The sequence below is a fragment of the Homo sapiens genome, chromosome 3, assembly GCF_000001405.40.
Source record: "Homo sapiens chromosome 3, GRCh38.p14 Primary Assembly".
NCBI classification, from domain to species: Eukaryota; Metazoa; Chordata; class Mammalia; order Primates; family Hominidae; genus Homo; species Homo sapiens.
Genome location: NC_000003.12, coordinates 52501913 through 52524225, shown reverse-complemented (window position 1 = coordinate 52524225; position 22313 = coordinate 52501913). Strand labels below are relative to the sequence as shown.

Here is a 22313-nt window from a genome sequence, read left to right as displayed (position 1 = left end):
TTCCATGCTTACATCGAAGGGTTCACAAAAGGTGTCGCTGCCAAAGACAGGGTTGGGGACAGAGACCAGGGTGGGGTTGGTCCCTTCTTGCCACGGTGAGAAGTCGTCATCAGCATCATCTTCCGCCTGGGAGCAGCAGAGGGGTGAGTGGCGAGGCGCCTCAAGCGAGATCCAAGGACCCGCCATGGCAGCCCCAACCCAGCCCTACCTGGAAGGCAGAGAAGCCAAAGCCCATGGGCTTGCCTCGGGCACGGAGGTAGAGAGCTCCGGCCACCAAGCCAAGCAGTGCTCCAGCGGCAAGCACAGCCCCCACGCCTGCCGCCACAGGTGGGGCTTCAGGCGCCAGCACTGCCTGCTACAAACAAACAGGGAGAGTGTTGACCTGGCGGGAGCTGTCCCACCACCTTCCCCGGGCTCACAGGTTGTGGGGGTGCCAGGAAGGGCTCTGCCTCCCCCTTCCTCAACTCACGGGCTGTGGGGGTGCCAGGAGGGGGCTGGCCAGAGCATGGATGATGCCATTGAAGGCCATGATGTCCCACACAATGATACGGCTAACCACAACTGTCCCTGGGGCCTGCAGGGAGACCAGAGTCAGGCCCACTGTGAGCGAGGGCCAGGGCCAACAGGGTGGGACAGTGGCCAGACTCACCACAGGGGCCCAGGAACTGTTGTCAGGGCCTGCGTCACTGATGATGAGGCTGAGGCCTGAGTGGGCCGGAAGCAACTTCCCCTGGCTGGCGTTGGCACTTAGGAGGGTGGCGTTGGAGGCATGCAGCTCCAAGTCTGGGCCACTCAGCGTCTGTGAGCAGAGCAAGGCCTGTTGGCCTGGGCCAGATGGAGATGGCCAATGCAGGCTCTGCTCTGCCCACACCCTTGGGGGTTACCATGTTGTCCACAAAGCCTTCATTGACAGGGACGAAGAGTGTCTTATACGTGAGCTCATCATCCAGGAAGTCCAGGAAGTCGAGACCCCGCTGGGTGGCATTGGCATAGCCCAATAGCATCTGGCACGGTGGAAAGACAGAACTATGAGCAGGCTCCCTCCTCGGGGATCCCAGCACCCCCCGCCCCCAAGGGTGGCCCCCACACACCCCATAGAAGGTGGAGAAGTTGGCAGTGGCAGCCAGCACATCCAGCAGCTTCCCATTGCACGTGCTGATCCCGTCACCCACGAAGCCATTTCGGCATCGGCAGGCCACATCTGCAGGAAAAGCAGGTCAGTGGCTCAGCAGATTGGTGGGAAGGGGCAGAGCAGGGGAAGTAGGGTTTGGTCGGGTGGACACACCTTGCACACGGAAGCAGTAGGCATCCCAGCGTTCTGAGAGGTTCTTGCGGGCACCCAGGCTGACTATGCCCACCCGACCATTGCCACAGTCCGCCACAGGGAAAACCACAGGGTGGGCAGTGGAGCCATTGGCCAGCCAGCCCATGAGGCACAGGTGGAAGCCCAGCTGTAGGAACAGGAGGGGATACTAAGACCCAAGACCCAGTCAAGGCCTCCCCCAACACTTGGCCCCAACTTCTGGGCCCCACACACCTGCTGGGCAGCAGAGAGCTGAGGGAATGAAGCAAGGACGGCTCCCTGTGCTTCGCATGCCGCCTCAGCCTCCGAAAAGTTCAGACCATAAGGGCCGCTGGTGGCCTGGAGGTGGAAAACGCCAGCCCGTTTCTCTGCAGAATGGAGGGGTGCATGGTCAGCTGGCCGGCTCTGAGGAATGAAATGGGTACTGGGAGTGGGCAGGGGGACACACCCTGGAAGTGCAGGTCAGTGCACATGGCATCTGAGTGGCAGGGCGGTGGCTGGCCCAAGCAGCGGTCCACAGGTGGTTCCGACTCCTCCAGACACTGCAGTCCATCGCCTACGTAGCCTGCGTGGCACTCACAGCGCCGTGTGTTCTGGGGTTGGAGAGAGCAGTGGGCGCCCTTCACCCTTCAGAGGTCGGAAGTTCTGCCAGGCCTCCCCACCCTGGCTACTCGGTTCCCCCACCTGCTCACCAGGCCGGTGCTCAAGCAGTTGGCGTGCTCGCTGCAGCCCCCGCGGTGGCCATCTGTGCAGGGGTTGCGGGCCCGGCAGCTCCAGCCATCACCCTCGTAGTCGGGCAGGCAGGTACAAGTGACCATTGTTCCTACCTGGCTACAGTTGGCGTGCTCACTGCAGCCACCATGCCCGTCCTGGCACAGGTCTGCCACTGAGGGCAGGGAGGGAGTGGTTGGACCTAGTGACTGCAGGGGAGTGGGGGCCTCCCACCTCCATGTCCCCGCCCATCTGCTTACCTGTACACACACGGCCATCCCCTTCATAGCCCAGGCTGCACTCACAGCTGTTGCCTGCACGGCACACAGCCTCGGGTGCACAGGGTGGGGTACACACAGGCTGCAGCTCTGTCCCCCAGGGCCCAGCCCCCAGAACCAGGTTAGTAGTTGCCTTCCTGGCCTCTGCCCGTTCCACCCACCCTTGGTGCCTTTACTGATGTGTGCACATGTACACAAGTGTGTAGGGTGGGCACGAGCACGGGGCTACTCACCCAGTTGCACCTCACAGCGTGGCCCAGTCCAGCCTTCATCACAGAAGCAGGAGCCAGAGCCCCCAAGGCCCTCATCACAGCGGCCATGCACAGTGCAGCGGCAGGCTGGGGAGAGGGACAGGCAGGAAGATAAAGATTGGCCCACAAGGGCCAAAGGAATCGGGCCGTGGGGCAGGCAGGGATGGCCCACCTTGACAATGGGGCCCAAAGGCACCAGGAGCACAGAGTTCACAGGCTGTCCCAGCAAAACCTGAACGGCACAGACACTGCCCACTGCCACTCATGCCGTCCATGCACACGCCACGGTCACTACAAGGGCTGCTGGGGCCGCCAGGGCAAGCTGGGGATGGGGTAGGAGAAGTGAGGTGGGGCCAGGGGCTCTCACCAGGACCCCCATATACGTACCTCCAGCCTAGCCCTGCCATCTGTCCCTGACCTATGTCCGCCCACTGCTAAGATCCCTCCAGGCCCATGTCCTGGAGAACATCCAGACCCCCCAGCACTCCTCCCCAGGTTCTGCACCGTCCACACTACCGCCATGCCTCTCCCGAGCACTCCCGCTAGTAAAATCTACTCACCACCCAGAGCTCCCCAGCCCTGGACGCCCCAACACTCTCTCAAGGACAATGGCCAGAGCTGTGCCTTGGCTCTCTTGGGGAACAGAGGAGCTAGTCAACAGTGTCTGCAATGCTCACCTTGGCACTCACTGCCATAGTGACCAGGGCAGCAGCTGGGCTTCCAGGTGGTGGTGACACAATTGCGGTGGCAGCCCCTGCCCAGGCCTTGGGGCCTACCCCAAAGGCTGGGGTGGACCCAGACGCTGCGTAATCCCAAAGAGTGCAGCGGAGGGGACGTCCAGAACTTCGGGTAGAAGCGCCAGCAGGCCTCAGGGCTGCCCTGGGCCAAAGGAGTCAGGCCGCAGTTGGGTGGTTCTGAGTTTGGTGGTCCTTGGGCTCTGCCTGCCCCCACCCCACCACCCCCACTCAGCCCCTAGCCCTGTACCTGCTCCTGTGACCCCTCAGGACAGGGTGGCTCCAGCCCACAGATGCTGCAGGTGTTCTGGAAGGGAGGGAGGCCAATACAGCAAAGTCAGGTGGATGGACACCACAGGCGGGGTGGGCTTCTGCCCGTCTGCCTCTGGCCTCCCTCACCAGTCGCAGGGGCCGGGTCTCAAAGTGGTCACAGCGAGCACCAAGGCCAGGTGGCTCCAGCAGCTGGTCGATGCCATAGGCCAGGCCACCCTCAAAGGGCAAGTGCCGCTGCACAATGCGAGCATCATCCTCACCCACCATGAGCTCACCCTGCAAGGAGAGAATATGAGGTATGCAAGGGTCGCAGGTGCACTCCAGCTGCTACTGCCAGGGCCCCTGCCTCCTACTCCCTTCATCCAAGCCCTCTCCCCAGACTCACGGCCCGCGTTCGGCTGCAGGAGAAAGAGATGGGGGTCCCATGCATGGTTCGAAGTGGGCCCAGGTTGGGCAGGTCAGATGCCAAGGCCTGAGCAAGTGGAGTCATGGTTGGAGGTGGAAAGGCAGGCTGAGCTGCAGGCAGTGAAGACCAAGGTTGGGGGCTGCACCCACCTCGACATTGCGAATCATGTGGCCCCGCAGAATGGCTGCTAGCTTGTCACGGTGGTCCTCATGGTACAGCCAGGCCTGGCGATCCGGAGGCAGAGCTCGAAAGGCGGCGTCTGTGGGCCACAGCATTGTGAAGGGCCTATGGGATGCCTCTCGAAGCAGGGGCAGGAGGCCGGCCACCTGGTGGGGTGCAGCAAAGATGTGGCAGTCGCTGCCCAGTCAGAGACTAGTTAGCAAAGGCAGGGGGCTGTGCCACAGAGCAGGAAGGGGCTCCACACTCACCCACACTCATCTGTGACCATCCCAGGCAGGCATGTGTGTGCACACATCTCAACTGTGCACACTGCTGTCAGGAATGTGGGCACACATAAGCACACCCATGTGCTCAACCTGGGGTGCACATGCACACAGATGTGGCTTGTGCACACATGAGTTCACACAGGCTCACACGGGACAGTGTGCACACAGGTGGGTATGCACACACAGGTACGCATACACACTTGCACACACTTACACGTGCATGTGTGTCCACAATGACAGGCCCACACGGGAGCAGTACCTTCAGGAGGCCGCTGAAGATCTTGTAACCGAAGCCCTGGGCGGCGGCGGTGACATTTCTCTGAGGAAAGGCTCTCATAAACAGCTAGGCCAGGCGGGAAGGGAGGATCCCAGGCCCCCACCTGCCTGTCTTCCAGCTCCCAGGCCCGTGCTTGTCATACCCTCGGGATGGGAGCATCATCAGGCTCCCAGTGCAGCGCCTCGGGGGGCAGCAGGACACGGTCAATGAAGTGCAGGATGCCGTTCACGGCCTCATGGTCGCTGCTCACCACGCGCGCGAAGTCATTGAGGTATATGCTGCCCTGGGGGCGGGGCACGGGGCTGATGAAGCAGATAGGTGGGGTGCTCGGAAGCTATCGGGGCCTGAGGTGGAGGTTGAACCTGGGTTGGGCAAGTCAGGGTGCAGGCAGTCCCGGTTCTTCGGGACCAGGACGAGGTGGGCGGGGTCTGGGGCGGAGTCAGGGCAGGGGGCGGGGCTCAGTCCTCGGAAGGACACAAGGGCGCTGGGCAGGACAGGCCCACAGCAGTGGGCGAGGCCCAGGTCAAGGGCGGAGTCCCGGGCTGGACTCAGCAGGAGGCGCCCCCTGGCTAGGGGAGGTGGGGTTCTTGACTGCGTGGGCCGTGGGGCCTGGGGCAATGGCGCGCAGGGGCGGGGCGGGGCGGGATGGAGCGGGGCAGGCCAGGGCCAGGGCTCACCTCCCTCTCGCTGAAGCGCAGTGGGTGCCCTGAGAGGGCCGTGGCGTACCCCTGCTCCAGCAGGTCCTCGCTCCGCAGCCGCCGACAGCCAACCACGTGGTAGCGAAACACCAGCTGGCGATGCGCACGAATCCGGGCCAGCTCATCCTGGAGCAGAGTCGCGAGGGGAGTGGGGTCCCTGACTGCCGCCTCAGCCCACGCAGGGCCACCACCAGAGCACCCAGCCCTGCCCAGCCTCGCTCTGGGGGCTGCATACCTGCGACAGGTTGCTCATTAGATCTGCGTGCGGCACGAAGATGGTGAAAGGCCCATCGCCCTTGAGCTCCTTATATTCCTGCGGGAGGCAGCAACAGCATGAGTGGAATGGGAGAAGCCTGAGGCGTCCATGGATCTCCTGGGGAAGACCTGGACTCAGAGAGAACAAACCAGCCAACCCCCTGACCAGATGGGGACAGAAGTCCAGAGAGGGGTGGGACTTGCAGGTCACAGAGGCCCAAGCTGGCCACTCACCAGGAGGCGGAGGCTGAAGAATGAGGCATGCTTATCCCTCAGGAGCTCCTGGGGGGGCGAGGGTCAGCTCAGATTTGGGGCGGCCCCCATTCAGGGCCTGGTGCCTGTCCCAGCACCTGCGGCCCAAGGTCTAGCCAAGGCAGACATGAGGAAAGGAAAGCCGCGGGGTCTGAGTTGGGGTCAGGGCTAGTTTCATGGGTCATAGCTGGGGTCAGGCCCAGGTACAATCAGGGGTCAGGCTCAGTGTCATGGTCAGGGCCAGAATCAGGATCAAATCGGATCTTTGCCAAGACCATGGGTCAGGCCCATGGGGCACAGCCAAGACCAGATCAGGGGTCTGACTTGGGCATCATTACCAGGCCGACTCGGGCACGGCAGGTGAGGCCGTCCCCCACGGTGTGGGCTGTGTCGCAGGTACATGTCCTCTGGCCATCCCCTGTGCTTTTGCAGGTGGCATATGGGCTGCATCCTCCATTGTTCTGAGTCAGGGACAGGAGAGGAAGGTATCAGTGGCTTTCACTACTTCTCTATCCCACTCAGCCCTGTGAAAGAGGCCATGAAGGCCCCTGCTCAGCCCCCCAGATCCTATTTGCTACTGATTAAACTCGAGCTTGACGGGAGGATAGCCCACCCTGCAGAGGCCCTTAGGACCCTGCTGGAGGTGAGAAGGGCTGGTTCCTGCCTCAGTCCCCTCTCCTTCTCGTCAGTGAAGGAGGACAGGACTAGGGTCCTGACCTTAGAGCAGGGGTCCAGGAGCTCGCAGGTCCGGATGCCATCCCCGCTGTAACCCTCACGGCAGCTGCAGGAGACCTGTCCCCAGTCTTGATCAGTGGGGCTGCTGGGAGCCAACAGCTGGCCAGCACCCTGGGTAAAAGGGTCACCCCCCTCCCCGGGCCTGCCCTGAAGGGAGGCCCCATCCTGTGAGGGCATGGCATGATGCCCCATGTCCAACCCTGCCATGCTGACCTGCTGGGGGCCAGTGGGGATGCACTCGGCGTGAATGTGGCAGCCCCCGTGGTGGATGAGACAGCTGTTAATTTCTGGGGGAAGAGACACTGGGATGGGGGTGGCCCTTAGTGGCCCCCCCCTTCCTCTGTCCTTTGTACCTTCATCTGTCCCACCCCCTCCTCTCTCAGCGCCCCCAGTCCCCACAAGTCCCATGTGCCCCTTCAGCCCTTCCTAATCTGACTCAGATCACTGAAGCCAGACCCCTAGCCCAACATAAACCCAGGTTAGGGGCCTAGTCTCACCCTGGCACAGCTCCCCGTCGCCCATGTAGCCATCCTGGCAGGTGCATGTCCGCTGCCCAGGTGCCACCTTGGTACAGTTGGCATGAGGGGAGCAGCCCCCATGGCCGTGGGCGCAGGGGTCCACCTCTAAGGGGAGATGGCCAGAGAGTCCTCAGGAGCAGGCACGGGGCCGGAGGCAGGACAGGAGAGGAGGGCGTGAGAGAAAGGAAAAGGTCAGAGGGAAGGGTGAGTCCTGAGATGGGACAGTGAGGGGGGCTGGGCCTAGAGGAAGTGAAGGGGGCTCTGTGGGGACAGCCACCCCAAAATTTCAGGGAGGGCCCTGGGCATCCGTGTGGCTGGACCTGAACAGAAGATGCCATTGCCGGAGTATCCCGCAGCACAGGCGCAGGTGGAGGCTCCGGCCGAGTCCTGCACGCAGCTGGGAGGGGTGGTAGCAGCAGCTTAGCCCATGCCTGTCCAGTCGTGCCTTGACCCCCAGGCTCCCCGCCACTCACCCACCCGCCCCAGGCTGGGCCCACTCACTTGGCATTGGGGTCGCACTTCCTAGGGCACTGAGGGCTGGTGATTTCTGGGGGGCAGGAGGATGACTCTGGTCATTCAGACCCAGGAACAGCCTCCTCAGTAGCCACCTGCCCCCTCCCCATTGGGACCCACTCACTCTGGTCACAGCGGAGGCCCTGCCAGCCCACGTTACAGACACAGCTTCCGTCCCCTTGCAGCCCCTCCTGGCACAGCCCATGGGCACAGTCACACACTGCAGTGGTATAAAGGAGGATAGGAGTTGCCCAGTGCCTCCATCCTGTCCCGGCTGGGGTCTCCAGGCTGCTCTCTGCTGCCAGGAGGCCCACCCCCGCCCCTCCCCAGTCCTCACCTCCGGTGCAGTTGGGCCCGTAGCGGCCCAGCTCACACACCTCACAGGCCGTTCCATGGAAGCCCTCGTGGCAGTGGCACTCCCCGCTGCCCAGGAACCTGTCCTGGCACTGCCCATGGCCTGAGCACACCCCCCCTAGACCCCCTGGGCATGGCTCACACAGCGTGCCAAAGAAACCAGGGCAGCAGTCCGGCACCTGTCGGCGTGGGGATGGGAGAGAGGGCGAGAGAGGCCCAGCAAGGTGTCAGGGGGAAGGGGAACGGGGGCATCTCGGGGCCACAGAGCCATGGAGCAAAACCCCTCAGAACCCCAGTCCCAGGGATGAGCAGCTCAGAGCTGAAAGAGACACAGAGATACCTCCTAAAACCCTCCCTCTGGCAGGGTGGGGAAACTGAGGCTCAAGCAAGGAAGGGCTGCACCCAGATCCCACAGTGAGGGGCCAAGCCAGGCCAAGTTGCTGCCCCTGGGGTTTCGCTGATGGAACCAGCTCTGGACTGCCCTTTCTTCCTCTCACCGTCTCCACTCCCTCTCCCTGGGGGAGTGGACACAGGGACAAACACTAGCCCTCTGACTTCAGACCTCTCTCCCATCTCCTTCCTCTGGGTTCTGGCCTCACCCTAGTCCCAGCCCAGTCTCTGTCCTTAAGATCCAAACTGGGCTCCTCCCTGGGCCCCCACCCACTCCCACCTCCTTCTCTCTGGACAGGCTTGGGGTGGGGGCTTCAGGGCAAACCTGGATCTTCTTGGCACATGTGTAAGAGCAGCCCCGGGAGAAGGAGAAGCCAGATCGGTAGACACAGCTCTTCCTGGGTGTGTCCTGGAAACGGGGACAGGCAGGAGGGGTCAGCCAGTGGCTTGGGCAGGGGCAGGGCAGTGAATGGGGAGACAGACAGATGGACTACAGGTGTCAGGCAGCTGAGCAGAACAGCAGAAGGGTCAGAGAGGGACCAAGACAGGCAGACTGATGGGAGAGGGCGGACAGGATCCAAGCCTCGGGCCGCAAGTCTGAGAGAGTCTCCCCTCAGCAGAGCCAGGCCAGCCCTCCAGACCTCTATGGGGACGTCAGCCACCCAGTTCCCTGAGCCTGGATGCCTGGGCCAAGCAAAACTGGGCTGGAGGGTGAGGGGATTGGGCACCTTGGAAGAAGTGAGGGCAGGCAACACAGGGACAGAGCTGCGCTAAGCCCAGTCTCACCTGCAGCTGGAAGCCCTGAGTGCAGCGGAATCTCCTGGTGCAGTTTACACATTTCTCCTAGAGGGAAAAAGGGTGGGGCATCAGGCAGTCCAGGCCTGGATCCCTGCCCTTCCTCCAGGACAGACTGACCATGCGCCCCTCCCCACTAGTCAGGTCAGCTAGGCCCTCCCAGCTCTGAACTCCCGTGCCGGCCTTCCTGTGGCCCCAGCCTCTCACCCGCAGGGCCTCAGCGTGGCTATGCAGGCAGCGACTTGAGCCCACCGTCAGGACCCCCGACAGACCAATCAGCGAGCGGCCAGGGGCCTCCAGCATGGGGCCTTCCAGTGGCACATGGTTCACCTCAGGCTGGGGAGAGGGATGGAGGCTGAATCCACCCACCTACCACCCTCACCTGGCAGGGCTGTAAGGTCAGGCAGTACTCCAGGGCCGGGGGGCTCCCTGGAGCAGAGGTTAGAGGTTGGAGGCTCACAGCTAGGGAAACTCCAAAGGGAAGGGATCTTCAGGGGTAGGGGCCCGGGCTAGGGTCTCCTTGCTCCCTGACCCCCAAACCTGGCCACTGTGGTTGTAGAAGACGATCCAGTGGGCAGGGCCCAGGAGGGAGTTGCGGTGTCCACCCTTCCGCAGGGTTTCCATGGAGAGGGCCTCCCCCAGGACCACATGGTGCCGCACTGTGTCTGCGTCCTGGAAGAGAAGGAGAGAACCCAGGGGACTGCAGGATAACCAAGTGCCCTGGACAGCACGCCACACCCACTGTGTCCCTTCGTGGTGGGATTGGAGGCTCGCCCTCTATGCCTTTGCCCTCCCTGCCATTGCCCCATCCCCACGGCCTCACCAGGTGACTGCTGTTGCCCTGGGCCTCCAGGGAGCGGTTGGTGGGCACAAAGATGGTGTAGGCAGTGGCAGCCTCAATCTGGGGCACCAACCCATGGTGCTAGGGATGGGGTGGAGGTCAGGGATGGGCATATTAGTTGTCAGTCCTGACACTGGGAGCCAGCCAGGTCCCTCTGGACCTGGGGCACAGTGTCCCCCGAGCAGGCACATCCCCTCTTGCCAGCCTTCCGTACCTGCAGCAATTCCCGGAAGAGGCTGAAGGCAGGCACCAAGTCCAGCTGCTGCAGCAACCCCTGCCCACCGGGCACATCCCCTCGGGGGGGCAGTAAGACCTGGTACAGAGCACAGGGCCTGGTCAGTATGTCATTGCTTCACGGCCTGCCTGCAAGTTTCCCTGCACACACCCTCCTCCTGCTGTACCTGGCTGAGGATGTGTAGGACACCGTTGGTGGCAAGGAGGTCAGCCACATCCACGCTGGCATTCTGCACCCAGACCCTCTGGAAGGCAGCAGCAGAGCTTAGCCACAGGTGGGCACAGATAGACCCTTAAAGGTGGGGCAGCCCCAACAGAGAGACTGCCAGGCACACAGGCACCCACAGGTGGTCCGCAGGCTGGCCCACAAGCTGGGTTCTGCACAGAAGCTCCTCCCAGGAGCTGACTCTGATCCTGAGTCAGACTCAGGACCCACCAGCTGGGCACACAGACCCTCCCCAGGGCCCGTGGTGACAGGGGCGGGTGTGCATGTGCAGACTGAGATGGACAGAGAGCCCCTGCAGGCAGTCACTCCTGGCCCAGCGACTCAGTGTCCATCAGCAATGCGTCCTGAGCACATCCTTTGAGCCCGGCTCTGGGCAGGGCGAGGGGACCCCAATCTCATCCCATGGGGCCCCTGATGTGGGAGAGCCTGCAGCCACTCAGGCTCCCTCCCATGCCCTACCTGGTCCCCTTTTCTGCCCAGAGTTCACCACATACCCCACTAATGTTGCGAATCTCCCAGCGTGTGGTGGGGTTCAGGGTGGCCACTTCCTGCCCACCCAGCCGGGCCAGCTCCTCCTCGAAGAGGGCACCCTGGAGAAAATGGGCCCTGACAGGGCACAGTTTAGGGGGGTCATGGAATCAGGTTAGTGTAACTTACAGAGACCTTTGGGGCTGGGCCCACCCCAAGGGGTGAGTGCCTGCCAGGCTGAGGACTCGCTGGGGAGGGACTGGGTCCCTCAAGGAAGCCCCTCCCACAGCCTGGCAATGGCGGCCCCACCTGACCAGGTTCGGCAGCGTCCTTGGCTGCAGCCAGAAAGCTCGGTCCTCGGGGCTCAGCTGACGGACTGCAGCCTCGGAGGGCACCAGGGCTGTGACTCGGCGGTCGGCAGGAAGCGTGATGCCGGCACTCTGCACGCACACAGGGAGCAGGGGCGGGAGGAGCGAGGAAGGCAGCCATCATCTTCAGATCCCCTGCTCTAGGCTCCAGCCCTGCCCCCAACCTCCCACGCTTGGAGATGTTATATGGCACCCCTCCATCCAGGCAGGCCTCCTGGATTTGAGCCCTCAACCCCAGCATTCTGCCCTGTCCTACCTTAAGCCATTGGTAGAAGATGGAGAAGTGGGCATTTGCCTCCAGCTCCTAAGGGAAGGGAAAAGTCTGAGGTCACAGGACCAGGGGCAAATTCAAGCCCCTTCCCCACCATGGATCCTGAGCAGTGCCCCTTTCCCACCTGAGGTGCTGGAGAGGGCTCCTTCCCAAGCACGGGGAAGACAGAAAACGAGTCTGAGCACCCCTTACCCGGAAGATGTCTCCATAACAGCTGAAGCCATCACCCCCAAAGCCAGGGGGGCACGTGCAGACCCGCTGACCTCCCCCCACTGCCCGGCAGGTGGCCTGGGGTGGGAGTGAGAAAGGGCCTCCATTCAGAACCAGATGGCAGCTGGGCCCCTCCCTCCCCCATCTTTCTGCCTGTCCAGCCACCCAGCCCCAGCCCCTGCCCCTTGCTCTGCAGCCACCCAGTCTGTGTTGGTGGCACTCCTTCGGTGTGCCTAGCCCTGCTCTCCAGGACACTGGGCATTTGACACAAGCATTACCCATGCCAGGTGGATGCGAGGGAGCTCAGGGCTGTGGGAGGACCCAGGAGGCCCGTATCCCCAGGAGCCAGAGCTGAGAGCAGGAGGAGCTAGCCAGGCCCAGGTGCAGCTTGCAGAAGCAGGAGTGTGGTACAGTGGAGCAAGGGCAGGGGATGGTGAGGAGCTCAGCGTAGCCAAGGACAGTGGAAGTGGGGCAGGAGTGGAACAGAGAGACGAGGCTGGGCAGGGGCGGGTGAAGGGGGAGAGGAGTGACATGGTTGGATTTGAAGTTTAGAAAGATCTTAATCCTGAGGGGGTACAGAGAGACACCCAGAGATGGGGAGGGAGGGAGAGAGCTGCAGCCCAGGCTCACCCCAGAAAGCTTCCCCAGGGCTCTGAGCCTTGCACCCCCTTACCAGGCCGTGGCAGCCGCCATTGCCTGCCCGGCAGGGGTCGATGGGGCTGCACTGGTAGCCATCCCCGGCAAAGCCCAGCTTGCAGGTGCATCGGCTCTGGAAAGGTTAGGAACAGACGGCCTTGTCTCATGATGAGCATCCAACCCTTTCTTCCTCCATTACTTGGCTCTCTCTGGTCACTGCCCCCAGGGAGGTCTGCCCAGACCCCAGAGGAACTTCTCCCAGCCCTCCTCTCAGAGATCTGTGCTCCAGATGGGGAGACAGAGGCCCTAAGGGGAGACTGGCTCTCAGGATGAGTCCACGGAGGTGAGAGCATTTGCAGAGAAGCATCCGTGGAGACTTGGTGCTCCTGCACTTGGAGCCTGGGGCCCTGCCAGGGCCATTGAGGCCAACAGCTTGTGGCAAGTGTGTAGGTACCTGCCAAGGCCAGCCCCAGGATAGTGGCTTAGATCCCACCTCCACCCCTGCCACCCTACTCAGCTGCTCTAATCCCCCAACCAAATGCCAGTGTCCCTGGGCTTGTCTACACTGCAGGTGAGTGACCAGCGAGACCCCTCAGCTCTCAGGTGCCCTTGTTTGCACGTTGGGAGCATCTCACTGGCTCATTCAACACCTCTGTTCTGAATTAAGGCCCTAATGGGGTTTGGAGCTCCAGCTCTTACACCTGTCAGTTCTTACTGCTAAGGCCCCACGTGCTGGTGCCCAGAGGCCACCTTGGAGTTGGGAGGACAGGGAGCCCCACAGGCCTGGCCATGCAGAGGCTGACCCTGACCAGCCAGGCCTGGCCTCCCACTTGGCGCGTTAGACAGTCTTCAATGCCTGTCCAAACACTGGTTCACCAGTCCTGAAATGCTCCACATGGAAGGCTCCAGGTTCCGAGCTCCCGTGACTAGATTCAGACACTGCAAAGCTCCGGGGCTGGATTTCCATGAGGCTAAAGTTTTGGGGAGGTCACTCCCACGGGCAGGGGCTTTTCCTGCTTTGCTCAGTATCACATTCCCTACATCTAGAACACGGACTAGCATGGAATAGGTGCCTGAAAACACCTGGGAAAGCAATGAGCCAATGGATGAAGGAGCGAATCCCAGATGCTACTACTCAGCATGTCAGCACTGGGTTCTCATCTGCACCTGAGGCTCCAGACCCTGAGCACCTGACTCTGCATTCCAGGAGTCAGATGGGGCAGGGAGAGAGTCCCCCAGAACCAAGGCCCCCACCCCTTCTCTGCTGCACCTCACCTGCCCGGGGCCCACATAGCTGCAGAGGGCATCGGTGTGGCAGCCACCTCTCATGTCCAGCTCACACTCGTCAATAGCCACACAGACGCGGCCATCCCCACTCCAGCCTTTGTGGCATGTGCAGTGGTGGGTGCCCAGGGACCCAGGGACACACTCAGCCTGTGAGAGCCATGGATAAATAACTGAGGGACACAAGAACGTAGGCAGAGGGCCAGGGCATCCCACCTCCTGCCTCTGGGTCAGAACTTCAGGGAAGGAGCAAGGGGACTGACATTCTCTGAGCAGCCTCCACGGTCCGGGTGGGAGCAGGGGTTGCTAGGTGTGCAGGAGAAGCCATCACCCTCAAAGCCATCAAGACAGCGACATCTGGGGGTGGGTGAAGGAGGGGGCTCCAGTGAGCCTCAGGTATGAAAGGTCACGGGTGGGGCAGACAGAAGGTGTGGGTCCTCACCTGGCAACACCCTCCTGGCTAACACAGCGGGCATGCAGGTGGCAGTGCTGGGCCAGCCCTGTGGGCCCACAGTCCCCCATGGACTCGTTGCAGAACCGGCCACTGAAGCCAGGGGCACACGTGCCCTGCTGGCACACCCCCCCACTGCCTGGGCGGTTGTCGCAGAGACCATGGACACAGCCGCAGTCTGTATGGAGTAGATGGGAGCAAGGAAACTGAGAAGCAGGAGGCAGGGCTGGCTGGGAGCCAGGATGGGTTTGGGGGATATAGGGAGTGGGGCAGCCAGTACAGATTTGACTTCAGGGTGGAAAAATCAGAGGTTATCTCAGACTCAATGGGCAGGCAGATGAAATGTGAGGGGGGCATTCTGAGCTTTCAATTATCCCATTCTAGTTGCCCTGATCCCAACACCACCATCAGGAAGTTCTTCAGTGTGTCTGACCTAAGTCCCGCATACTTTAAGCCACAGTTCCCTTCCTGGCCTGGGTGAAGCAGACAGCATCTCCTTTCTGTTCTCAAATCTTCCTCCACTCCCCTTGGCCTTCGTCCCTCCTCCTGGGGCTTCGTTTCCCTTCTTGAGAGCCCCCAGACCCATTTTTAGGCAAATCTTCCTCCACTCCCCTTGGCCTTCGTCCCTCCTCCTGGGGCTTCGTTTCCCTTCTTGAGAGCCCCCAGACCCATCTTTAGGCAGACGTTTTTTCTCCCTAGGAGGTGGCCTGAGCCAGGACCACCCACCTTCCTGGCATTGCTCTCCATGCTTGTTTGGGTTCGAGCAGATGTGGCAGGCGATGCCCTTGTAGTCTGGGAAGCAGAGGCAGGCCCCATTGCCCTGGATCCCATCACTGCACTAGAGAGTGAGCAGAAGGCAGGATCAGTCATGGGAAAGGGACTCTCTACATCCCCTCTCCCAACACCCCCTCCTTTCATGGGCTGGCTCTGAGCTCTTGCTACCCGTGAGAGCTCATCCTGGAAGGGATCTTCAAAATCACTGATGCCGCCAAAGACCTAGCCCCTAAAAGGCACCTGGCCCTGGAGGCTTTATGAGCAACATTTGCTGGATGCAGAAACACATAACTCCTGTGTTCTTCTATAGCCAGGTGCTAAAGTAACCGTGATATTACAAAGTGGTAAAAACAGAACACAAAAGAAAACCACCAAGTAGCCTTTTTGGAAATAAATGCCAAAAAATCTATCTATCTATCTATTATTATTATTATTATTATTATTGTTATTTTGGGATGGAATCTCACTCTGTTGCCCAGGCTGGAGTGCAGTGGTGCAATCTTGGCTCACTGCAACCTCCGCCTCCCAGGTTCAAGTGATTTTCCTGCCTCAGCCTCCTGAGTAGCTGGGATTACAGGTGTGTGCCATAACACCAGGCTAATTTTTGTATTTTTAGTACAGACAGGGTTTTGCCATGTTGACCAGGCTGGTCTTGAACTCCTGACCTCAAGTGATCTGCCCGCCTCAGCGTCTCAAAGTGCTGGGATTACAGGCATGAGACATTGCACCTGGCCTCTCTAATTATTTTTAATTAAAATATGAGAAATAATTTGATCCAACTTTCCACTGCATAGATATGAGAATCCCAAGGCCAGAGTGGCAGGCTTGGCCCAGACACACAGCCAGTCACTGGCCAACCGGTGAAGGAGTCCTTGTGTTCCCCATACCTCACCCCAGGAGAGGATGGGACTCACATTGCCTTTGCCATAGCAGGGGTTGGAGAAGCCCCCAGGACACTGCGTGCAGTCAGGCCCGAAAAAACCTTTGCAGCAGCCTTGTTCCTATAAGAGACAGAACAGGTCCAAGAGGCCATCTGGGTCCATGCCCTCCCTGCCCAGGCTGCCTCTGCTCCCTGGCCCCATCTCCAGAGTGACGGAGTGGATAAGGTTTCTCTGGGACCCCTTTTCCACCGTCAGGCTGCAGTGCATCCTCTGAGGGAGGGAGCCCACTCAGCCCCAGCTTGGGGGCCCCCGAGGAACAGCAGGTGCCCAGGTGACCTGGGAGTGGGCACCCATGCCCACGCTTACCATGATGGTTTGGTTGCAGTAGCTGGCACAGCCCTTCTTTAGCACATTGAGCCCCGTTGGGTCATGGATGTAGACACACTCCTTGGGGAAGATGTCCTAGGGTGGGCCATGCAAAGCCAGTCAGTGGGTGTGGGTTCTGGGCCAGCCCCTTTGCTAGGCAGCCCTGGTTAAGGGACCTCTGCCCCCTGGGTCCAGAACTCTAACCCTGGTCCAGTGGGGCTGCGAAGCACTTAGCCTCCAGGTGTGATCTAGCCTCCCAGCCTCTGCTTCCCCCACCCACCCCTGTGACCCAGGGCAGAAACCTCAACAGGCAGTCAGGAGGCCCTGAGAGCTGGGCCAAGGTGTGCTCACCAGCTTCACACTGTTGGGGGGACACGTGCTGGTGTTCAGGGCTTGGCAGTCCACACAGGAGCCCTGGGCAGGGCAGGGGCAGGATGGGGAGAGGGGTTAGTCATTGTTTATTTACTCGGCAAACCCAGAGAAGGGAACATTGAGTGGGGATTAAGGGATGAGAAGAGCCAACCACAGGAAGCCCAGCACTGGCATTCCAGGCAGAGGAGAGCAGGGGCAGAGGCCCCGAGCCGGGCAGAGCTAGAGTCTCTGGAAAACAGCAGAGAGGCCAGAGGCAGGCACAGAGTGAGTGAAAGGGGATGGAGCGGTGGAGGATGCAAGAGTTATCTCAGGCCAGGCTCAGTGGCTCATGCCTGTAATCCCAGCACTTTGGGAGGCCGAGGTGGGCGGATCACCTGAGGTCAGAGGTTTGAAACCAGCCTGGCCAACATGGTGAAATCCCATCTCTACTAAAAATACAAAAATTAGCCAGGCATGTTGGCGGACACCTGTAATCCCAGCTACTCGGGAGGCTGAGGCAGGAGAATCGCTTGAACCCAGGATGCGGAGGCTACAGTGAGTTGGGATTGTGCCACTGCACTCCAGCCTAGGCGACAGAGCAAGACCCTACCTCAAAAAACAAAACAAATCTCAAAGATGGAATCATAGTCCTGGTGAGGGTGAGCGTGGGGGAAGCACAGGTGGGTCCTTGGGAGTCTGCCAGCAGGGCCTCAGAGCCGGCGTCAGCCCAGCCCTGACTTAGCGCCTCTCCCTGGGAAGAGGATTGCCGCTCCAGCGCTGACAGGGGTTAGTGAGTAGGGCCCTGGCCGTGCAGGCGAGGCTCACCGCCACAATCTTGTGCTGCTCCTCGCTGCAGTGCTTGGGCAGGATGGGCAGGATGGTCGGGGGCAGCAGGATGCCGTCCAGCATGTGGATCACACCATTGGCGGCCATCACGTCTACCCTCTGCAGCGGGACCCCCTCGGGTCCCAGCAGGATGCGCCCCTGCGGCAGAGACCCACTGAGCCAACCCCCAGCCTGGCTGGCCTTGGCCCGGTGGGGCTGCCCACCTCCACCCCTGCAGCCCAGTTAGAGCAGACAGGCAGCTCAGTGAGCTGCTGAAGGCCCCGCTGGCCATACCAGCCACCTCTCCTTCAGCTCTGGCCAACGACACTGCTCCAGGCTGCGGGTCCTTACCCACATGGCTTCTGCCACATGGGGCAGCCCTACCGTGTGCTCCATGCTCCTTTTTGGAGTCCTCCCCCTTAACTCTCATTGGGCCCCAGCAGAGGAATTTGATCTCTGCCTGCTTCCTTCCCCATGAGCCCGCCATGGCCTAGCAGTGTCCTGCCCACCACGGGGCTCGGAGCACACAAGGCTGAGAGGCCAAGTGGGCAGCTGGTCACCGCCAGCCCCACCATCCGCCCAGGTGTCCGTGCACCTCACCTCCTCAGAAATGTTCACAGCCAGGACCTGGTTCGCCATGGTGAGGATCCGACCCTTGGAGATGAGCTTCTCAACGGTCAGCTGGGGCAAGGGACAGTGTGGCTTTAGGCTGGGCTCTGGCCATACCTTGGGGCCACGCCCAGTCCTGCCCAGGAGGCTCACAGCCACCCCCTTGGTCCCTAGGCTCTGTGCTATAGCAGAACAGATGAGAAGGGAAGGGAGATGGAGAAGAGATGGGGCCTTGGGGAAGTCCAGAACCTGCAGGCAGGCCCACCGGGTACAAGCTGGCCGCCCCCCAGAAAAAGACCTCGCACCTGGCCGTGGTTGTAGATGTGGTACCGCACCAACTCCTGCAGTTTAGAGAGACCCTGGCAGGGGAGAGAGAGGGTTTGGCTCCTGGAGGAACTGTGGGGGAGCGTGGAGGTCCTGGTGCCCCCATACCCGCAGCCCCTTCTCCCGCTGAGCTTACCGCTGTGAAGAGGTAGATCAGGCGGCCGTCACGCAAGCTGTCCACAGCCTCATTGCTTGGGGCAAAGACTGTGAAGGGCCCAGGTCCGTCCAGGATGGAGGGCAGCCCACAGTTCTGTGGTGGTGCAAGGGAGGCTCAGGGGGTTGCATGGCCAGCCTCCACCTCTGAGTCCTGCCTGGGCCCTGCCACCTTTGGCCTGCAGGAAACTCCCACTGAGTAAGGGGGAGACATGGGCAATGGGTCCATGCTACCACAGAACCTCAGGCTTGAGGACGGGGGCATGGGCAGAGGCCATGCTACTTCAGAACCCCAGGTCACTGTGGGGCAGAATCTGGGATAATGAGTCCTGGCTCAGAAGCCCAGAAGCCCACATGGGCTAGGACCCCTCCCCCGAGCTTACCTCCAGGATGGTTTCAAAGCGGCTGAAGGCCTCGGTAGAGGCGAGGATCTGTCCGATAGTTCTCTGTAAGGAGGGATGAGTGTGAGGGCCCCAGGGAAGGGGTGAGGCTGCTTCAGCCCAGCGGGGAGAAGCTGCGCTCCAGCCCTGAGTAGAATGGCTCCTGCCCACTCACTGCTCTCTGCAGGGGTCTGAGATTACCCAGCAGCACAGGGGAGGGGAGGGGAGGATGCTGGCTCACCTTGGGATCCCCAGGGGTCCCAGAGGGGGCCTGCCACCGCAGGCCAGTGACCACGTGGAAGACGCCATTAGCTGCTATGTTGTTGGCCTTGTAGATGTTGAACGTCTGCTGGGGCTGGTCTTTGTACTTGTAGGAGTATTTCTGGTGAGACACAAGAGGTCTGGCCAGATCCCATATGCCAGCCCCCTGTCCGGAGGCTCCCTCCCACCTGCACACCCTTGCCAGGCTGTGACTCCTCTTGTCCCCAGGCTGAGGCTCCTCCCTCACCGTGAATTGGTTAAAGGTGACGGTGATCTCCTGCCCGGCCAGCGTCCACCACCTTCGTGTTTGTTGGGTCCTTGTGTCCTCCAGGATGTGCTGCCCTGCGATGATGTGCTGTCTACAGAGCTGCTGGGCAAGGGATGCCTGCAGACGCAAGGCGGGGAGCAAAGTGAGCCGGGGGGCCAGTCCTCTTCACACCACCTCTACCCAGCAATGGAGGGGACAGGATGCATCCCAGGCCCTGATGCCTTCCAGGTGGCCCTGAAGACTGGGGATGCATCCAGGGGAGGAGGTGAGGGCCAGTGGCCAGCTCCACCATGGGGAGGGGCTTACATTCATGGTCCTGGAGGAGAAGGAGGAGACGGATGGCACCAGCACGGTGAAAGGGCCCGCTGTGGTAAGGATTTCCCGGCAGCCCTGGTCTGGGGGGCAGGGTGAGGGAGCATCAGAAGGGAGCTGGGGAGACTCTGGGGATCTCAGAAGATGTTCGGGCATCAGACCTGGTGTGGGGGAGTTGGGGTGGGGGTATTCTCCCTAGATTTAGGGTAGATGGGGGCCTTGAGGTTGGAGAGCAGCTCCCACCCCCTGCATGCACCCCCCACAGCCACCTGTTTGTTCCCACAGCCCTGGGCAGAGAAACTGGAATCTGCAGAGGCAGCTCCTCCCTCCCTGCCAACTGTGCTGGGGGTGAGGGGTCGGGTCGTGGGCAAGCAGTGGGGTCACGCACCCATCATGGCCACGGCGACCCTCAGCTGCAGGAACACCCGGCCTGTCTGCGTGGCCTTCTGCACCTCGTGGAGCAGGTGTCCGTAGCAGGCACGCCCATCCCCCACCTCGCTTTCCCTGCACACACAGCTGGGCTCCCAGGGAGAGCCAGTCAGGGCGGAGGCTGAGGCCCCCCCCACCGCACCCCCCACGCCTTCCCGCAGAGGGCACGCTTGCCCAACCCACTGTCTCTGCTCCCAGGCACCTGTGCTCACCTGGTCTTCCCATCAGCGGTCACCTGGCAAGTGGCAGACCGGTCGCAGGAGAAGGGGGAGCAGAAGGCGAAGCAGCCCGCAGAAGCGTTGCTGTTGATGCTGACCAGGCCTGGCCGGCAGGTGCAGAAGGCCTGGCCCCCGACAGGGCAGGAGGGGAACACCACGTCCAACCCCAAGAACCACTGGTGTCTGCCCTACCCATAGAGCCCTGCTCAGCCCCTCCCTGAAGAGGACCCTTATCCTCTCCCCACTTTACAAGTGGGGAAACTGAGGCTACCAGAAGGCCTGTGACTTGCCCAGGGTCCCATAGCCAGTGTTTGGGTGCACTGTGGGGACAGTTCCGGCCTGGGACCCTGGCTCACCTGGCCCGGCTTCTGGTACACACACAAAGTAGAGTTGCTGGGGCAGCCACCAAGGTTGTCAGTGCATGGGTCCTTGGGCAGACACACCATCCCATCGCCATGGTAGTTCTCAGGGCAGTGACACTGAGCCTGCCCCTTGGGGCTCACCGAGCACTGGGCCAGCAGTGAGCAGGGTGATGGCCAGCAGGGGTTGGGGGCTGCCAGGGCAGAGAGAGAGCCCAAGTGAGCCAAGCACCCAGGAGCCCTGTCTCCGCCACAGCTTTCACCAGGAAGGCCGGGGCCAGCAGGTTGACCTAGGCCTTGAGGATAGGCTCCCCTTAGGAATGGCTCTCCCTCCTTGTGAATTACATTGCACTTGCTGGGTTAAAGGATGCTCTCCCAGCCCCCGCCCGCCCTGAGCTGAAGTCCCTGGCCTCTGAGTCCAGGCTCACCTCGGCATTCACTGCCCTGCTGTGTGTAGCCGGGCAGGCACCTGCAGCTGGGAGCCTCTGCGGAGCACTGGGTGTTCTGGGGACAGCGCAGCTCCTGGCAGACGGGCAGCTCTGCGCAGAGTGGAGAGAGCACTGATGAGCCCAAGCCCAGGCTGGGGAGGAACACAGGGGCAAAGGGGCCTTGCCTGTTCTGTGTGACTTGGAGCAGGGCCCTGACCTTGCTGGGCCTCTGGACAGTGGAGGTCTCAGATGACACCCCTTCCCCAACTAGGCTCCAGGCGGAGGTCCTGCTGAGGCTCAGGCCCCATCCTCACCCAGTCGGCCTCTTTTGCTCTGGCCACAGGGACCTGCTGCCCTAGGCTATCCCAGTGGCGCTGCTCACCTTGATCACAGTGGGGGCCAGTGTATCCAGCAAAGCACAGGCAGCTTCCATCCCCACGTGGCCCATGGTTGCACACTCCGTGCACACAGCTGCACACTGGGAGGGACACACAGAGACAGATGGGGCCCCAGCCTCTCCCAGGCACACACTGGGACATCGGGTCCCTGCTCTCTGTATTTTTAGAACTCAGCTCGGGCAGGTACAACCTTAAGAGTACAGAGCTGTGATGCGGGACCACAGGGGTGGTGGGAGACCACAGAAGGCACTGGCCCGGCCTGGGGCTCACAGAGGGCTTCCTGGAGAAGGCCTCTCAGGGGAGTAGCATGTGCAAAGGGCTGGAGGTGTGATAAAACAAAGCACATGTTCCTGAAAGGGATGTGCAAATCTGAGGGGCTGGGACAGAGGCTGAAGGGACAGGTGGGAGCTGGTTGTAGGTACTGCATCTGCGTGGGCCCCCAGGTGGACGCTGGCCGTGCCCTCTTGCCTTTTAAGCACTCACCCGATTGGCAGTCAGGCCCGAACCGGTTGGGGTCTTGGCACTCCTGGCAGGCTGAGCCGCGGAAGTTTTCCTGGTGGTGGATGCACCAAGTCAGCGTGGCCCCTCTGAGCCTCCACCCCACCTTGCCCAGCCCTTACCTGGCACACACAGGTCCCATTCCTGTCCATGCCATCCAAGCAGGTCCCGTGGCCATTGCATGGGGTCTCAGCGCCCCCAGGGCATTCTGTGGACCCCCACAGTACTCAGCTCTGTGCCCAGAACCCTCCGCTTACCCTGACCCCAGCAGCTCTGGCCAACCCCAGACTCGGCCCCTCCC

The 22313-nt window shown here is 61.4% G+C and overlaps 1 protein-coding gene across 8 annotated transcripts in view, besides 7 other annotated features; it reads right to left on the bottom strand.

The window, feature by feature from the left end:
- STAB1 (stabilin 1) overlaps nucleotides 1-22313 on the bottom strand; it is a 29158-nt gene that overhangs the window by 270 nt on the left and 6575 nt on the right. Inside the window, exons 4-68 of one of the 8 annotated variants that reach the window (NM_015136.3) lie at nucleotides 22135-22220; nucleotides 21998-22067; nucleotides 21499-21594; nucleotides 21117-21227; nucleotides 20686-20882; nucleotides 20324-20454; nucleotides 20071-20198; nucleotides 19677-19765; nucleotides 19350-19487; nucleotides 19083-19223; nucleotides 18845-18907; nucleotides 18445-18558; nucleotides 18290-18343; nucleotides 17976-18056; nucleotides 17376-17534; nucleotides 16551-16613; nucleotides 16200-16295; nucleotides 15867-15953; nucleotides 14905-15016; nucleotides 14170-14356; nucleotides 13991-14084; nucleotides 13719-13877; nucleotides 12481-12576; nucleotides 11790-11885; nucleotides 11583-11630; nucleotides 11268-11398; nucleotides 10985-11096; nucleotides 10432-10509; nucleotides 10245-10343; nucleotides 10013-10111; nucleotides 9730-9861; nucleotides 9397-9525; nucleotides 9181-9237; nucleotides 8720-8803; nucleotides 7988-8183; nucleotides 7775-7870; nucleotides 7639-7684; nucleotides 7458-7534; nucleotides 7117-7242; nucleotides 6833-6906; nucleotides 6602-6676; nucleotides 6223-6345; nucleotides 5867-5914; nucleotides 5613-5690; nucleotides 5357-5503; nucleotides 4822-4962; nucleotides 4662-4721; nucleotides 4106-4282; nucleotides 3936-4022; nucleotides 3677-3826; nucleotides 3528-3584; nucleotides 3221-3422; nucleotides 2716-2865; nucleotides 2526-2630; nucleotides 2275-2382; nucleotides 1996-2189; nucleotides 1752-1896; nucleotides 1538-1671; nucleotides 1286-1451; nucleotides 1092-1201; nucleotides 885-1004; nucleotides 650-799; nucleotides 470-574; nucleotides 209-355; nucleotides 13-126 (exon numbers count right to left, since the gene is read on the bottom strand). In NM_015136.3, the coding sequence (NP_055951.2) occupies nucleotides 13-126; nucleotides 209-355; nucleotides 470-574; nucleotides 650-799; nucleotides 885-1004; nucleotides 1092-1201; nucleotides 1286-1451; nucleotides 1538-1671; nucleotides 1752-1896; nucleotides 1996-2189; nucleotides 2275-2382; nucleotides 2526-2630; nucleotides 2716-2865; nucleotides 3221-3422; nucleotides 3528-3584; nucleotides 3677-3826; nucleotides 3936-4022; nucleotides 4106-4282; nucleotides 4662-4721; nucleotides 4822-4962; nucleotides 5357-5503; nucleotides 5613-5690; nucleotides 5867-5914; nucleotides 6223-6345; nucleotides 6602-6676; nucleotides 6833-6906; nucleotides 7117-7242; nucleotides 7458-7534; nucleotides 7639-7684; nucleotides 7775-7870; nucleotides 7988-8183; nucleotides 8720-8803; nucleotides 9181-9237; nucleotides 9397-9525; nucleotides 9730-9861; nucleotides 10013-10111; nucleotides 10245-10343; nucleotides 10432-10509; nucleotides 10985-11096; nucleotides 11268-11398; nucleotides 11583-11630; nucleotides 11790-11885; nucleotides 12481-12576; nucleotides 13719-13877; nucleotides 13991-14084; nucleotides 14170-14356; nucleotides 14905-15016; nucleotides 15867-15953; nucleotides 16200-16295; nucleotides 16551-16613; nucleotides 17376-17534; nucleotides 17976-18056; nucleotides 18290-18343; nucleotides 18445-18558; nucleotides 18845-18907; nucleotides 19083-19223; nucleotides 19350-19487; nucleotides 19677-19765; nucleotides 20071-20198; nucleotides 20324-20454; nucleotides 20686-20882; nucleotides 21117-21227; nucleotides 21499-21594; nucleotides 21998-22067; nucleotides 22135-22220 (7325 nt within the window). Of the gene's footprint in view, nucleotides 1-12; nucleotides 127-208; nucleotides 356-469; nucleotides 800-884; nucleotides 1005-1091; nucleotides 1202-1285; nucleotides 1452-1537; nucleotides 1672-1751; nucleotides 1897-1987; nucleotides 2190-2274; nucleotides 2383-2525; nucleotides 2631-2715; nucleotides 2866-3220; nucleotides 3423-3527; nucleotides 3585-3676; nucleotides 3827-3935; nucleotides 4023-4105; nucleotides 4283-4661; nucleotides 4722-4821; nucleotides 4963-5356; nucleotides 5504-5612; nucleotides 5691-5866; nucleotides 5997-6222; nucleotides 6346-6601; nucleotides 6677-6832; nucleotides 6907-7116; nucleotides 7243-7457; nucleotides 7535-7638; nucleotides 7685-7774; nucleotides 7871-7987; nucleotides 8184-8719; nucleotides 8804-9180; nucleotides 9238-9396; nucleotides 9526-9729; nucleotides 9862-10012; nucleotides 10112-10244; nucleotides 10344-10431; nucleotides 10510-10984; nucleotides 11097-11267; nucleotides 11399-11582; nucleotides 11631-11789; nucleotides 11886-12480; nucleotides 12577-13718; nucleotides 13878-13990; nucleotides 14085-14169; nucleotides 14357-14904; nucleotides 15017-15866; nucleotides 15954-16199; nucleotides 16296-16550; nucleotides 16614-17375; nucleotides 17535-17975; nucleotides 18057-18289; nucleotides 18344-18444; nucleotides 18559-18844; nucleotides 18908-19082; nucleotides 19224-19349; nucleotides 19488-19676; nucleotides 19766-20070; nucleotides 20199-20323; nucleotides 20455-20685; nucleotides 20883-21116; nucleotides 21228-21498; nucleotides 21595-21997; nucleotides 22068-22134; nucleotides 22221-22313 lie in introns of those variants that run through there. The other 7 variants (XM_005264974.2, XM_005264973.4, XM_047447776.1 and 4 more) reach the window with 7 other exon arrangements.
- Nucleotides 3955-4561: an enhancer, noted in NCBI's record as "H3K4me1 hESC enhancer chr3:52553681-52554287 (GRCh37/hg19 assembly coordinates)". NCBI's record gives its function as "activates a minimal SCP1, AML or CMV promoter by ChIP-STARR-seq in naive H9 embryonic stem cells {active_cell/tissue: H9 hESC(naive)}" and the evidence as "EXISTENCE:reporter gene assay evidence [ECO:0000049][PMID:30033119]".
- Nucleotides 4562-5170: an enhancer, noted in NCBI's record as "H3K4me1 hESC enhancer chr3:52553072-52553680 (GRCh37/hg19 assembly coordinates)". NCBI's record gives its function as "activates a minimal SCP1, AML or CMV promoter by ChIP-STARR-seq in primed H9 embryonic stem cells {active_cell/tissue: H9 hESC(primed)}" and the evidence as "EXISTENCE:reporter gene assay evidence [ECO:0000049][PMID:30033119]".
- Nucleotides 4735-4878: a silencer, noted in NCBI's record as "fragment chr3:52553364-52553507 (GRCh37/hg19 assembly coordinates)". NCBI's record gives its function as "represses an EF-1alpha promoter that drives an FKBP-Casp9 reporter gene in an ReSE screen in K562 erythroleukemia cells {active_cell/tissue: K562}" and the evidence as "EXISTENCE:reporter gene assay evidence [ECO:0000049][PMID:32094911]".
- Nucleotides 16654-17255: an enhancer, noted in NCBI's record as "H3K27ac-H3K4me1 hESC enhancer chr3:52540987-52541588 (GRCh37/hg19 assembly coordinates)". NCBI's record gives its function as "activates a minimal SCP1, AML or CMV promoter by ChIP-STARR-seq in naive H9 embryonic stem cells {active_cell/tissue: H9 hESC(naive)}" and the evidence as "EXISTENCE:reporter gene assay evidence [ECO:0000049][PMID:30033119]".
- Nucleotides 17256-17855: an enhancer, noted in NCBI's record as "H3K27ac-H3K4me1 hESC enhancer chr3:52540387-52540986 (GRCh37/hg19 assembly coordinates)". NCBI's record gives its function as "activates a minimal SCP1, AML or CMV promoter by ChIP-STARR-seq in naive H9 embryonic stem cells {active_cell/tissue: H9 hESC(naive)}" and the evidence as "EXISTENCE:reporter gene assay evidence [ECO:0000049][PMID:30033119]".
- Nucleotides 19222-19727: an enhancer, noted in NCBI's record as "H3K4me1 hESC enhancer chr3:52538515-52539020 (GRCh37/hg19 assembly coordinates)". NCBI's record gives its function as "activates a minimal SCP1, AML or CMV promoter by ChIP-STARR-seq in primed H9 embryonic stem cells {active_cell/tissue: H9 hESC(primed)}" and the evidence as "EXISTENCE:reporter gene assay evidence [ECO:0000049][PMID:30033119]".
- Nucleotides 19728-20233: an enhancer, noted in NCBI's record as "H3K27ac-H3K4me1 hESC enhancer chr3:52538009-52538514 (GRCh37/hg19 assembly coordinates)". NCBI's record gives its function as "activates a minimal SCP1, AML or CMV promoter by ChIP-STARR-seq in primed H9 embryonic stem cells {active_cell/tissue: H9 hESC(primed)}" and the evidence as "EXISTENCE:reporter gene assay evidence [ECO:0000049][PMID:30033119]".